The sequence below is a fragment of the Homo sapiens genome, chromosome 8 (assembly GCF_000001405.40).
Source record: "Homo sapiens chromosome 8, GRCh38.p14 Primary Assembly".
NCBI classification, from domain to species: Eukaryota; Metazoa; Chordata; class Mammalia; order Primates; family Hominidae; genus Homo; species Homo sapiens.
In genome coordinates, this window is record NC_000008.11 from 20408751 (window position 1) to 20421644 (window position 12894).

At 43.8% G+C, this 12894-nt stretch overlaps 2 annotated features.

Moving 5' to 3' along the window:
- Positions 3306-4505: an enhancer, noted in NCBI's record as "BRD4-independent group 4 enhancer chr8:20269567-20270766 (GRCh37/hg19 assembly coordinates)". NCBI's record gives its function as "activates an origin of replication core promoter dependent on BRD2, P300/CBP, MED14 and CDK7 cofactors, and independent of BRD4, by STARR-seq in HCT116 cells {active_cell/tissue: HCT116}" and the evidence as "EXISTENCE:reporter gene assay evidence [ECO:0000049][PMID:35650434]".
- Positions 12248-12417: an enhancer, noted in NCBI's record as "experimental_102562 CRE fragment used in MPRA reporter constructs". NCBI's record gives its function as "activates a minimal promoter by MPRAs in K562 erythroleukemia cells, with activity observed for the non-introgressed 8:20278594 variant allele {active_cell/tissue: K562}" and the evidence as "EXISTENCE:reporter gene assay evidence [ECO:0000049][PMID:34662402]".

The following is a 12894-nucleotide window of genomic DNA, read 5'->3' on the forward strand; positions in this document are numbered from 1 at the left end:
TCAGACCATGGTTAGCTTAAAGGCTCTTAACTCTTCAAATGAGCTGGATTTCAAATGAGCCCCAACTATCTGCTGGCTTCTGCAAGCTAGTAAGTTAAACACATGGATTGGCCCTGCTATGAACAAGTGTTCATTGAGCTCTCCATTTGCAGGCCACAGTGCTAATTGTCACACATAGATAAAAAGTCAGAGATCTTCCCTTTAAGGAGATTACAATTTAGAGATAAATAAAAATAGTAAGCTCCTCAAACAATTACAGGAAAATGAACAGTGGTCTGCCTTGTTTTGGTGAGGCTGTGAAACCTCATGGAAAGAGTCATAGTTGAAGGTTTTATAGAAGGGTGAGTTTTGACCTTGAGAGAGCTGGATTTGGAAAACAGAAAGGAGAACATCATGAGTAAAGAAACAGAAGCAGGCATGTTGTATTTGGGGCAGAAGAGGACACCAAAAAGTGTAGACTCAGTTAACAAGTGGTGGGACACTTGCCTTGGAAGGTAGGTCCTTGAATATTAGTCAGAGGAATTCAGACTTCATACAAGAAAATCCAGCAGAAGACAAATTGCTTTTCGTTTTAAACTGTCTGCTTTCTCCTTGCGAAATTAGAAAGGTCATACAATGAAAGTGAGTCATCACTCTTTTCCACTCACTTAGCATTCGATATAAATCTGTGTTTGCCTTGGGTGAATGGGCAGGTAGTTATTCGCAAGGCTGAATCAAGTCATGCAGCTGGATCTAGTTGCTGTTGTTAGTCCTCCTCTCCCTAAAACCAGCGGGTGTTCCATTCGGTGGAAATGTACCAGAACTGGAGGGTTGGTGGCGATGGTGTTCTTGAAGAAGGGTGAGAATAGAGCCCTTTGTTATTGTAGAGACTCTCATGGAAGAGCTGGTTTCTGAAACCTTGAAAGTGGGGAAACCACTCCTGGGGTAGTATAGGGTTGTCTGGAATTTTAACTTATACTGCTCAACTTATATCTTAACTTATACCACTGGATAGATGATTGTATCAGAGAGCAGCTAGAAGTGCTTTTATGAGAGTTAATAAAACTAGGATAAATCGTCTTCACGTTATACCTCCTAGAAATTTGGACTTTCAATTTGGGGCATTTAAATGACGGTCACTGTGTCCCCGTCGATTGCATCAGCTCCGTGCTCTCCACTGTCAGCAGCACCAGCCTCCTTCCTTGCCAAACCTGGTCACCAACGTGACCAGTCAGCTATTTAAGCAGAAATGATCTTTTGTGAAAATCTATATATTATTTAATGCCTTTGCCCTTTGCCTTAGCTCTTTCTTTCTGCGAGCTCCTCAGCCAGGATTTCAATCTGCTTTGGATGCTTTGCAAAAAGAAATGCACAGCAAACTCCAGTGGGAATTGTGACTCTCTGTTCCTGATTTCTGGATTCTTGTAATCTATAGTGCTTCCGTGCTGGGGCTCTGCAGCTCTTTAATGGGGCCTTGTGGTAAAGTTTGGGTAGGAAGAAATCATTTCACTTAGAAATGGTTCTGCTTTGATGATCTCTGTTTTACTGGGAGTTTTTCTTCTCCTTTGTCTTTAAAGCCAGAGCCATTTCCTAGAATAAATGTTGCCTGAACACGGGAGAAGAAAGTGGAGAATCAAGTCTTGGGGAAGATACAGACTCCAGCAGTGAATCAAAATGGCTTTGGCAGTTCATTAATCAATCAACAAATATTTGATAATTGCTGACCACATGTAAGGCATAATGTTAGGGACTGTGGATAGTATAAAAAACGTGAATGGAATCTTGTCTGTTCACTCTCAAAAAACTCAATAGCTTTTGACCAGGTGTGGTGGCTTGCAGCTGTAATCCCAGCACTGTGAGAGGTCAAGACATGAGAATCACTTGAGGCCAGGAGTTCAAGACCAGCCTGGACAATAGAGTAAGATACTGTCTCTACAAAACAAAACAAAAAAGAATTCAAAAGAAAATCAGCCAGGTGTGGTGCATGTGCCTGTGGTCCCATCTACTTGGGAGGCTGAGGTAGGAGTATCCCTTGAGCCCAGGAGTTCGACGTTGCAGTGACCTATGACTGTGCCATTGCACTCCAGCCTGGGTGACACAGCAAGATCCTATCTCTAAACATAAATAAATAAATAAATAAATACATACATACATACATAAACACATAAATAATACAAAATTTAAAAACTCAATAGCTTCTTACAGTTCAGCAAATTCAAGCCAAACTCATTGCCCTGGTGTCTAAGGCATCACATAGCTGACTCCAACCAATGGGCTTTTCTGCACGTGCCCGTGTGCCTTCACCTGTATTACCTCACGTTGTTTTTATCTGAGGATAAATGGCCCGTGAGATCCATGAACACCTACCCCCAACACTTCTGTTGACTAAATTCTGTTCATTTTTACAGATCACCTTCACATACCACCTCCTCCAGGAAGCATGACCTGATTGACCCTCAGTTGTGTGTGAACTTTCTTCCTTTCAACCCCCATGGTACCTTGTATTTCTTTTGTTTTCTCAAGAGAACGCTGCTTGACAGAGTAGGAAGATCAAAAAGCATTTGCTGATTGACTGATTTAATAGGGTTGAAGGTCTCTTAGGATCTTATAGGATCATCAATATCAACATGGTGGGGAGAAGACTTAGTTCTGGTGAGAATACCAATTCAGAGGACTAGAACAAGGGAAATCAAACTGAACTGTCAAATAGATAAAACAGTAAGGGTTTAGAGGTGTGTAGGTTCATAGCCACACGTAAGAGTGATATTTCTGCAAACAGCCCAGAATGTATTATACTGACATGAGTATTGCTCCTCAAGGTGGTCCCAGTCAGAGACTGATTTCCCTGAGGTTGCCAGAAAGCAAGATACTAGCAGCAAGAAGATCCCAACCCTGGGTGCCCTCCCTCCAACCCACATCTCGCCAGTTGCTGCTATTGGAGCGTAAGTCAGTCTACACGGTTTCCAGTCAACTGAGCGTCAGGGACACCAATAGTGTCCACAGGACTGTGGAGCATTGAGGAGAAAGTAAAAGGCAAACCGTGTTCATTATGAGTTTACAGTTATGCTGGGGAGAGGCAGATGAAAACATCAAATTAAAATGCACACCAGTCCATGTTGAGGTGCTGAAATGACTCACCCAGACAAGAAGGGCTATTTGAATTTATGGAGGAAGGGTGTGGGTGGGAATTGAGCAGGGTAAAAGGTGAGATGTGGAAACTGAGAGGGTCCCTGAAAGACTTCAGGGAATGGAGATGGGGGCTTGGCCTTCTGACCTGGGGACCTGAAATGTCTAAAATTGTAACTCACAATTGCACTGCCCACATCTGAGCCTCTTTAGACCTATGTCTTCTCTAATTAACCCTGGCTCTGGGCTCTTTCTTTTGGTACCTGTTGTCAGTGTATTTACAGTCTCCCAGGCAAAAGAACTCAGTCAATTCTCCCTTTTTCTCTCACTAGACACCTCTATCTAATCAGTCACCTATGATTAAGTTTCATATGGATTGCTTTTGTCTCTAAGTTCAGCCTGTGTATAGAACTTCAGGTTCTCAATGGCTTTTGTCTTTTCAATATCATTCCAGTTATCTATGGCTGTGTAACAAACTACTCCCAAACTTAGTGGCTTAAAACAACAACTGGTCTATTATACCTTATAATTTTGCAGGTCAGGAATCCTGGCTGAATAGTTTCTCTGTCTCACATGGCATTCATGGAAGCATTCACTGGTGTTCACTGGACCATGCAGATCTGGACAGCATGTGGTGGCTGCATTTTTGTGTCTGTTTCCTTGTTGAGCATGGCTGGAAAGTGAGATCAGCTAGAACCATTGACCAAAGTGCTTATGCATGGGTTTTTCAGCATGGTGACCTCAAGGTGGTCAGAGCTTTTAAATGGGAGCTCGGAGCTCCCAGAGTGAAAATTCCAAGAGACGGTAAGCATAACCTGATACTCTCTCAAGGCTGGGTCAGGAAACAACCACAACACCATTTCTGCCCTATATTACTGGTGACGCAATCCCAGAACCACCCTCTAGTCAAGGGGAAGGGACAAAGACCCCACCTGTGGATGGGAAGAGTGTCAAAGCAATTGTGGTCACATGTAATCTATCATGAGCGTTATATTATTTGTTTTGACAGCAGGAGGCAATGGGAAGATCCTGATGCTAACTTCGGCTCTCCTGTTAGCCCACTGTGTGTACATGAGGGAACCTCTTTAAATCTCCACACCTCAGAACTTCTGCAGTGATGGATGTGTTCCACGGTTGTCAAAGTGTGGTCCCCAAACCAGCAGCATCAACTTCACCTGAAAATGTGTTAGAATAGTCAATTATCAGGCCCCACCTCACAACCATTGAATCAAACATCTTGGGTGGGACCCAGCAATTTGTATTTAACCAAGCCCATAAGGTGATTCTGATGTGTGTAAGGGTTAAAGAAGCCCTGGGGTTGGTTCCTTTCAGCCGACTTTCTGTGATTCTAACTACAGAAGCACCCTTTCATGCCACATGACCAGAACTAATAGCCAATTAATTGAAAAAATTAATTAAAATTAAGAAATGCTACTTACATTTGTGAAACTTTTAATTTTAACGAAAGGAAGTCAATCTTTCGATGTAGGGTCAAGGCCTTTCTTTGAGTGTGAGTCTGCTGGTTGGATTTCTATGACAGCTTTTTTGCATAACCCATATCTTTAATGCATGATCTAAGATTTTTAGGTTTTTACAAGCAGAGTAAGAACTAAAGACTTTACAAAGGAATCTGAACAGTTCATCTGAGTGACTCATCTTTCTTGACTATTTCTGAATATCTGACTTGGTTTACATAACAATGCATTTGTAATATTTAATTACATTAAATCATTGCAATGACAATAATTACTGGAATAAACAAGTTTGGGAACAAAGTCAACTGATGGAAACAGAAGGCTTGGGACACTGGGTGGTTTTCTACTCATCACAAGCATCACTTGGCCATGGATGTCAACTGTTTTAAGGACAGCAGGGAGAATACTGGTATATGTGGAGAGTTGGTTGAGTGGACATTGAGTAAGAGAGCTTCTCCTGCACTGCTGGTTCTTCCTAACCAGAATTCTTGTCTTCTTCCCTCTTTTTTATTGCATCCTTGACACATGTTTAATTCAAGCCCTTTTCACCTAACCCTGAACTATTACAAAAGCACACTATGTGGTCTCATCGTCTCCACACTTACCTCCTGGTGTCTGCATAAATTCATGCTTACAAAAGCCATGCCATTCCCATTCTCAGCAGGGTAGAATGAAAAGAACACTGGATTTAGAAGCTAAGGACCTGATTGGGTCTTAATCTACTATTTCTAGTTGTGTGCCATTGGATAACTCAGTCAACTTCTCCAAGCTCTTTCCCTCAAGCAAAGATAGAGCAACTAGTGCTACACACACTTCAGAGGGGATCTTGAAGATCAAGAGGACTTAAATAGGTGAAAATGTTTTGAAACCTGAATAGAACTCTACAATTCTAAGTTGTTTCTTTCCTTACTGTGTGATAACGCTCAGTCTTTTCAGCCTAGCACCCAACAATCTAGTTCTAGCTTATCTTCTCAGCTTCTTTCTCAAAGATCCTAGAAGTGTACTTCTCACCCTAGCAAGACTGTTCTACTCAAGCTCCCATGCACAGACCTAAGTTTTCTTTTCCTTTTTTATTATAATTTAAGTTTTAGGGTACATGTGCACAACGTGCAGGTTAGTTACATATGTATACATGTGCCATGTTGGTGTGCTGCACCCATTAACTCGTCATTTAACATTAGGTATATCTCCTATTGCTATCCCTCCCCTCTCCCCCCACCCCACAACAGGCACCAGTGTGTGATGTTCCCCTTCCTGTGTCCATGTGTTCTCATTGTTCAATTCCCACCTATGAATGAGAACATGCGGTGTTTGGTTTTTTGTCCTTGCGATAGTTTGCTGAGAATAATGGTTTCCAGCTTCATCCATGTCCCTAAAAAGGACATGAACTCATCATTTTTTATGGCTGCATAGTATTCCAGGATTGTAAATCATGCTGCTATAAAGACACATGCACACGTATATTTATTGTGGCACTATTCACAATAGCAAAGACTTGGAACCAAGCCAAATGTCCAACAATGATAGACTGGATTAAGAAAATGTGGCACATATGCACAGACCTAAGTTTTCTATGTCTATGCCTTTGGCCACTGTCCCCTAAAATGTCTTTTTCCTTTTCTATAACTGGGTTGGTCTACCTCCATTTGCGTGGACGTTTCCATGAGACACAGACTCACAAAGATTGGGCAGAATACAAGTAAGTCAAAGCAAGCTACCTCCTGGCCTCTGAAGACCAAGTGGAGAAGAAAACAGGTTTCTAACCAAAGAAGAAAGTTCTGAGTTATAATTTCTCAGCACTCTAGGCAAGGTGCAGCACACCTTGACAGTTAGAGAAGAGTATTTCATCTTGAAAACCTGCAGCTCACCAGTGAAGTAACATCCTTTCTTGTTTCATTGGACGAGACGGCACACTTGTCAGTGGAACTTAGAAGATGCAGCAGTAACAACATAAACTAGGTATATGCCGAACCCTATCAGGTCATCTATTCTGTAGTCATCTGGTGGTTGGGATTATTCTTAGTGAGACAAGCTAGGCATCAAAAGGCTGAACAGCTCAAATACCAAGTAAGACTCAAATCCTTTTCCTATGTATATATTAAAAGCTGGTCACACTCTTAGACTTTAAACATGGCACTGAAATCTAGGATTCCATTCGGGTGCAAGCAACAGAAAACCTAAGAGAGGCCTTCGTAAATAAGGGGTCAATTTATGCAGTGCGACATGAGCTTTGGAAATAGGTGGTCCTCACGTGCAGCTGCTCAAATAGGCCACTGAAGGCTCAGACCCCTTCTCTCTCTTCCTGCTTCATCATCTTTCATATCTTTAGCTTTTATTTTCCATTGCAGGGTGGCTGCTGTGCCTTCAGGCATCGGATCACGTTCCAGGTGGTAAGAAGGGAGAGGGCAAATTGGCAGAGCAGATGACACTGAGCCTGTTCCTTTCCTTGAAGCGGGCTATGTTTACCCATAGTTCATATCTGGCATCTTTTATAATTGGTGGTTATTTATTTATTTTTAATATTACCCTTGCTTAAAAGCCCCACCTGCTAACTTCTGCTTTATCTCATCATCTAGTTCTGGGTTACATAGACACCCTTGCCTGGGATAGAGTTGGAAATTGAGTGTTTTTACTTGGGTGCACTGCCACCCTCAAACAGGTTTGAGATTCTGTCAAAGAGAAGACAACAACAGATACTGAGCAGGCAATTAATCGTCTGCCATAATGCTTAATTCAAACTTGTGTATTATTCTAAATTGCACCACTTGGCTTTATATTTAAAGGCAACAAGCTTCACCTGTGTCAGGGGCAACTGGTGATGGAAGAAAAAGTCTCATATGAAGGTGATATTTCCTTGGGGAACCTGAAGCCATACATCCTTCCAGACCCAGTTCAAATACTCCAACCTTCAAGAAACCTCATTCACCCCGGTTCTCCTCCTCCAACACTTATTGTTCGCCCTGTCCACTTGACATTTATCTTGGGTAGATGTCATTCCCCACCCCAAACATATTATAAATTCCATGGGGGATAGGGTTATATTTTCTTTTTCTTTTTTATTTCCCACGGGCCCCCAAATGGTACTGAACACAACATAGAGGAATATTACATACTTACTGTTTGGTTCATAGGAAATGGTATCATGGTGGTAGTTGAGCTAGATATGAATGTGGAACAGTATGAAGGCTGTGTTTCTGGGTCTAAGAGTCTGGGTGACAGAGTAGCGAAAGATAAAGTTAGTTCATTCATTTAATTCTTTAATGTATGTATTAAATACCTATTCTACGCTAGACAAAAATACAACTGTCCTAGATTCTGTATTCTATTGACCTAGCAGTATAGACAGGGTCAAATACCAACAAGATAATTTTGCAAAAAATTATAGTTCTAGACTTCCTCTAGATTGAACACTTTCCATCTGCCTGGCACATGGACAGAAGCACACACTGATTGAGCCTGGTGTGATTCTGGCTGTCAAACTTCATCTTCGCCATCAAACATGTGATCACATTCATTTAATTCTCAGAGAAGCCCTTTGGTTTCTCATTACATTTGAGGAAACTGAGGCCAAGAGCAGTGGTGGGTTGCTCCAGGACACATGGGCAGTTGGTGGGAGAACTGGATTTCTACCCAGTGCATAGAAGGTCAGCCTCACTCCTGCTCTCCAGTCCCTGCCCTTCCAGAGTGAGCTCTAATTGTCCAGGAGAGTGATGGTGGTGTCTCCCGAGAAGTATACGGAAAGCAGAGAGCACATCTTGGAGCCTCATGGACTCTTATCCATATCATGGTTATTTTTTTTTGGTTAAGTGAAGCAAGGAGGAGGCGTGGGGAGAAGAGATTGCTTTCAAACCTTCTGATTCTCAGCCAGGCGCGGTGGCTCATGCCTGTAATCCCAACACTTTGGGAGGCCGAGATGGGTGGATCACAAGGTCAGGAGATCGTGACCATCCTGGCTAACACGGTGAAACCTCGTCTCTACCAAAAATACAAAAAAATTAGCCAAGCGTGGTGGTGAGTGCCTGTAGTCCCAGCTACTTGGGAGGCTGAGACAGGAGAATGGTGTGAACCCAGGAGGCGGAGCTTGCAGTGAGCCGAGGTCACGCCACTGCACTCCAGCCTGGGTGACAGAGCAAGACTCTGTCTCAAAAAAAAAAAAAAACGAAAACCAAAAAAACAAAAAAAAAAACCTTCTGATTCTCATGGGTGCTGCTTTGCCTTCACCATGGCTGGCTCAGCCCAGGCACACAGACAGGTGTTTTGCACAGGGGGAGCAGCAGCTGTGTCTGGCAGGGGTCGGAGGCTCCCTTTCCATACACTACCTCTGGCTAATGGTCCGATCCCAGCACTGACAGCTCGGTTCATACATTCTCCTGTTGAAGGCAGACCTTCCACAAGCTGAGCTGTTCTCAGCTATCCAGTGTCTTGACATGGGAGGAACACTCGGTGATTTGAGCGTTCTTTGGGTGCCTGCCTCATGCTCAGAACTAGCTACTAGGGAAATAGAAGTGAATACATTGCACAAAACTCCCTGGCCTCAGGGAGGCTGCAATATAATAAGTAGATTAATTCAATCAGCTAGTCAGGCTTTGAAGAAAGGAGGTGGGACAGGCCAAGAAGTTAGAGATTTGGGTGCCCTGGGACAGATGGTGATCAGAAAAATGTCAGCCTTCTTGCATGGTAAGGAGGCTGAGAAGGAGTTCATTGGAGTCTAGGGTCAGTGTAAGGATCAACCCTGGAGCACCCAGAAAGCAAAGGTTGGATTACGTGATGTACATGACACATTGCTCCCAAGGTCACACTTTTATTTGGGACCATGGAAACTGGCCTGAAACAAACCAGTGACTTCTTTACACTCTAAGGAAGATAAAGAAAACCTTTGCTGGGCATCATGGCTTATACCTGTTATCCCAGCACTTTGGGAAGTCAAGGAGGGAAGATCGCTTGAGGCCAGGAGTTTGAGACCAGCCTGGGCAACATAATGAGACCCTGTCTCTACAAAAAATAATAAAAAATGTTAGCTGAGCATGGTGGTGTACAGAATGTTTAGTCCCAGCTACTCAGGAGGCCGAGGCAGGAGGATCATTTGAGCTCAGGAATTTGAGACTGCAGTGAGCTATGATCGCACCAATGCACTGCAGTCTGGGTGACAGAGCAAGAACCTGCCTCTTAAAAAAACCTTATTGAATTTCTCTAGAATATAAGTATGTTGATGCTGGCTTGGATCAGGGCGTCCTTGGTGCCTGGCACTTACTACATGTGCAGCAAATATTTACTGAATGAATTGCTGAATGAACTTGAGAAGGCTCAGGCACTGCACTTTTGCATATACTTCCATTTTCTCCTTCACGTCTAATTGTGTTTATATGAGGAAACAATAGTGCTGTGGTCTGAATGTTTATGTCTCCACCGAAATTCAAATATTGAAGTCCTGTCCCTCAAGATGATGGTATTAAGAGGTGCAGACTCTGGGAGATGATTAGATCATGGAGGCAGAGACCTCATGAATGGGATTAGTGTCCTTATGAAAGGCTTCAGAGAGACCCCTGGCCCCTTCCGGCATGTGGGGACATAGTAAGAAGATGTCATCTATGAGGACATGAGCCCTCACCAGACGCCCAGTCTGCTGATGCCTGGATCTTGGACTTCCCATCCTCCAGAACTGTGAGAATACAATTTTTGTTGTTTACAAGTCACCCAGTTGAGAGTACTTTGTAATAGCAGCCTGAACAGACTAAGACACATGCTGATTCCTATTTTTTCATAAGAAACCCGGAACACGGAGCTATTAAGGGTGTAAATGGCAGAATTAGGATTTCAAGTCATGGTTGGGTCTGTACAAGGTTAGGGCTCTTTCTTCCTCTTGCCTCAGCTTTTCCGTCTTCTCAACCCTGGCTTCTCACCCAAGGCTGCAAGACTTTGCTACCGTAAGACCAGCGGTTCCCAACCTTTTTGGCACCAGGGACTGGTTTTGTGGAAGACAGTTTTTCCATGGATGGGGGGTGGGGGATGGTTTTGGGATGAAACTGTTCCAACTCAGATCAGTCATTAGGTTCTCATAAGAAGCTCACAGCCTACATCCTTTGCATGTGCAGTTCACAATAGGGTTCAGCTCCTATGAGAATTTAATGCCACCACTGATCTGACAGGAGGTGAAGCTCAGGCAGTAATGCTCGCTGGCCTGCCACTCACCTCCTGCTGTGCAGCCTGGTTCCTAACAGGCCACTGACTGGTACTGGTCTGTTGCCTGGGGGTGAGGACCCCTGTATGAGACAATGTTTTGACTCTGGGAACCCTGTGAATTCCAAGCCACCATTGTTTCCCCTGATTCTCTAGGGAAACATAGTTTTACGTTCTTGTACTTGGTTTTGGGGATGTCCACACACTGTGTGCATAGAAGGGGGTGTCTGAGTGTGTGTTGGGATAGGGATGACTTCAGTGGGAAAGTACATCAGCTGCTTCACAGAAAAGAACTCAACCAATGTAAAAAAATAAAAGTTCTTCTGATGTGAGAGGGAGAGGAAATACTGATGCTGTGAACAGAACTGTGTTCCTCCAAAATGCTTATGTTGAAGCCCTAACCCCTAATAGGACGGTATTTGAAGGTGGGGCTTTGGAGAGGTAATTAGGTTTCAATGCGGCCCTGAGGGTGAGTTTATGATGGAGTCAAAGACACAAGCGCTCTCTCACTCTCTCTCTTTTTATCTCTCTCCTTTTCACACAAATAAGAGGTCACATGGACACACAGGGATGGTGGCAACCCACAAGCCAAGAGAAGAGTCCTCGGAATGAAACCCACCTCGCTGGCACCTTGATCTTGGACTTCCCAGCCTCCAGAACTATGAGAAATTAATTACTATTGTTTAAACCACACAGTCTCTAGTATTCTATTATAGCACCCTGTAGAAACTAAGACAACTGCTCATCTGAAGAGAGAAAGTATCCTGTTTCAAAGGCTAGCATGCCTTTGAGTCTGTCAAACCGCATAGGCCAGGAGCAGGATATAAGAGCATATTGTATACCTGGGCAGGGATGAGTGCACCTGCAGCTGACCGTTTTCCTGGTGGTCTGTGCTGAGGCCCATCCCTGAGGGGTGGTCTACAGCTTATTCCCCCACCCCAGGATGGGCTCATTTATCTCAGGCCTCCCTTCACTGTTTGTATATCTCCAATTCTATTTCTATTACCTATCTCTATCTGTCTCTATTGATCATTCTAATATTTGTCTCCAGCCTGTAATTCTCTCCTAGAACCACCTGCCACTGTGACCAGACTTACAAGCCATTTCCCCAGGGATAACAACCCTGGGACTTCAACACTGATCCTGCCATGTGTCTGTCTTTCTTCTTTGTCTGGGCTCCGGGAATGGCGTTGCCATGTAACTCAGGTCCATGGGAGAAACATGGGCTCCTCCCCCCGTCTCACACCTCATATCTGATATATCACATAGGTGATTCATTCTGTCTCCTAAACACCGACTGAGCCCAGATCTGAGTCTCCACCTTCTCTGGATCCACATGAGTCCTTGCCGTCACTGTCTCTTGCCACGACTTCTGCAGAGGCCTCCTCACTGGCCTCCCCACTCTTCATGCCCTGCTTCAGCTCATTTGCCTAAGTGGTCTTCAAATAATGTAAATCTGATCATTTCACATTCTTGATAAATGTTCTTCAGCATTTACCCATTTGATGGAGGAAGAAGTCCACACTCCACAGCAAGGTTATGGATCTGGCCTCAGTTCAATTTTATGCCTCATTTCTAGACCTAAACTTTTCTTCCCTGGCCAACCCTGTTCTCAGCTAGCCAGAGTAGAAGAGAATAGAACAAAGCCACAAGTGTGCCCAGTCTCTGGCCTCCAGCCCTGGGATCATGGTGTTCCCAGTGCCGGAACCCCTTCTCCTTTCCTTCCCGTCATGTCCACATTGTCATCCACTCAGTCCTTTTCAAGGTTCACTCCTACTTATTACTTTTTTATGCAGCATTTTTTATTGTGGTAAAATACACATAACCAAAAAATTTACCACCTAAACTTAATTTTTTTTTTAAAGTCAGGGTCTTATTCTATCATCCAGGCTAAAGGGCAGTGGTGTGATCATAGCTCACTGTAGCCTCCATCTCCAGAGCTCCAGTGAGCCACCCACCTCAGCCTCCTAAGTAGCTGGAACTACAGGAGCATGCCACCATGACTGGCTAATTAATTTTTTCTTTTTTTCATAGAAACAAGGTCTCCATATGCTGCCCAGGCTCGTGTTGAGCCCGTGACCTCAAGTCATGCTCATGCCTTGGCCTCCCAAACTGACAGGATTACAGGTGTGAACCA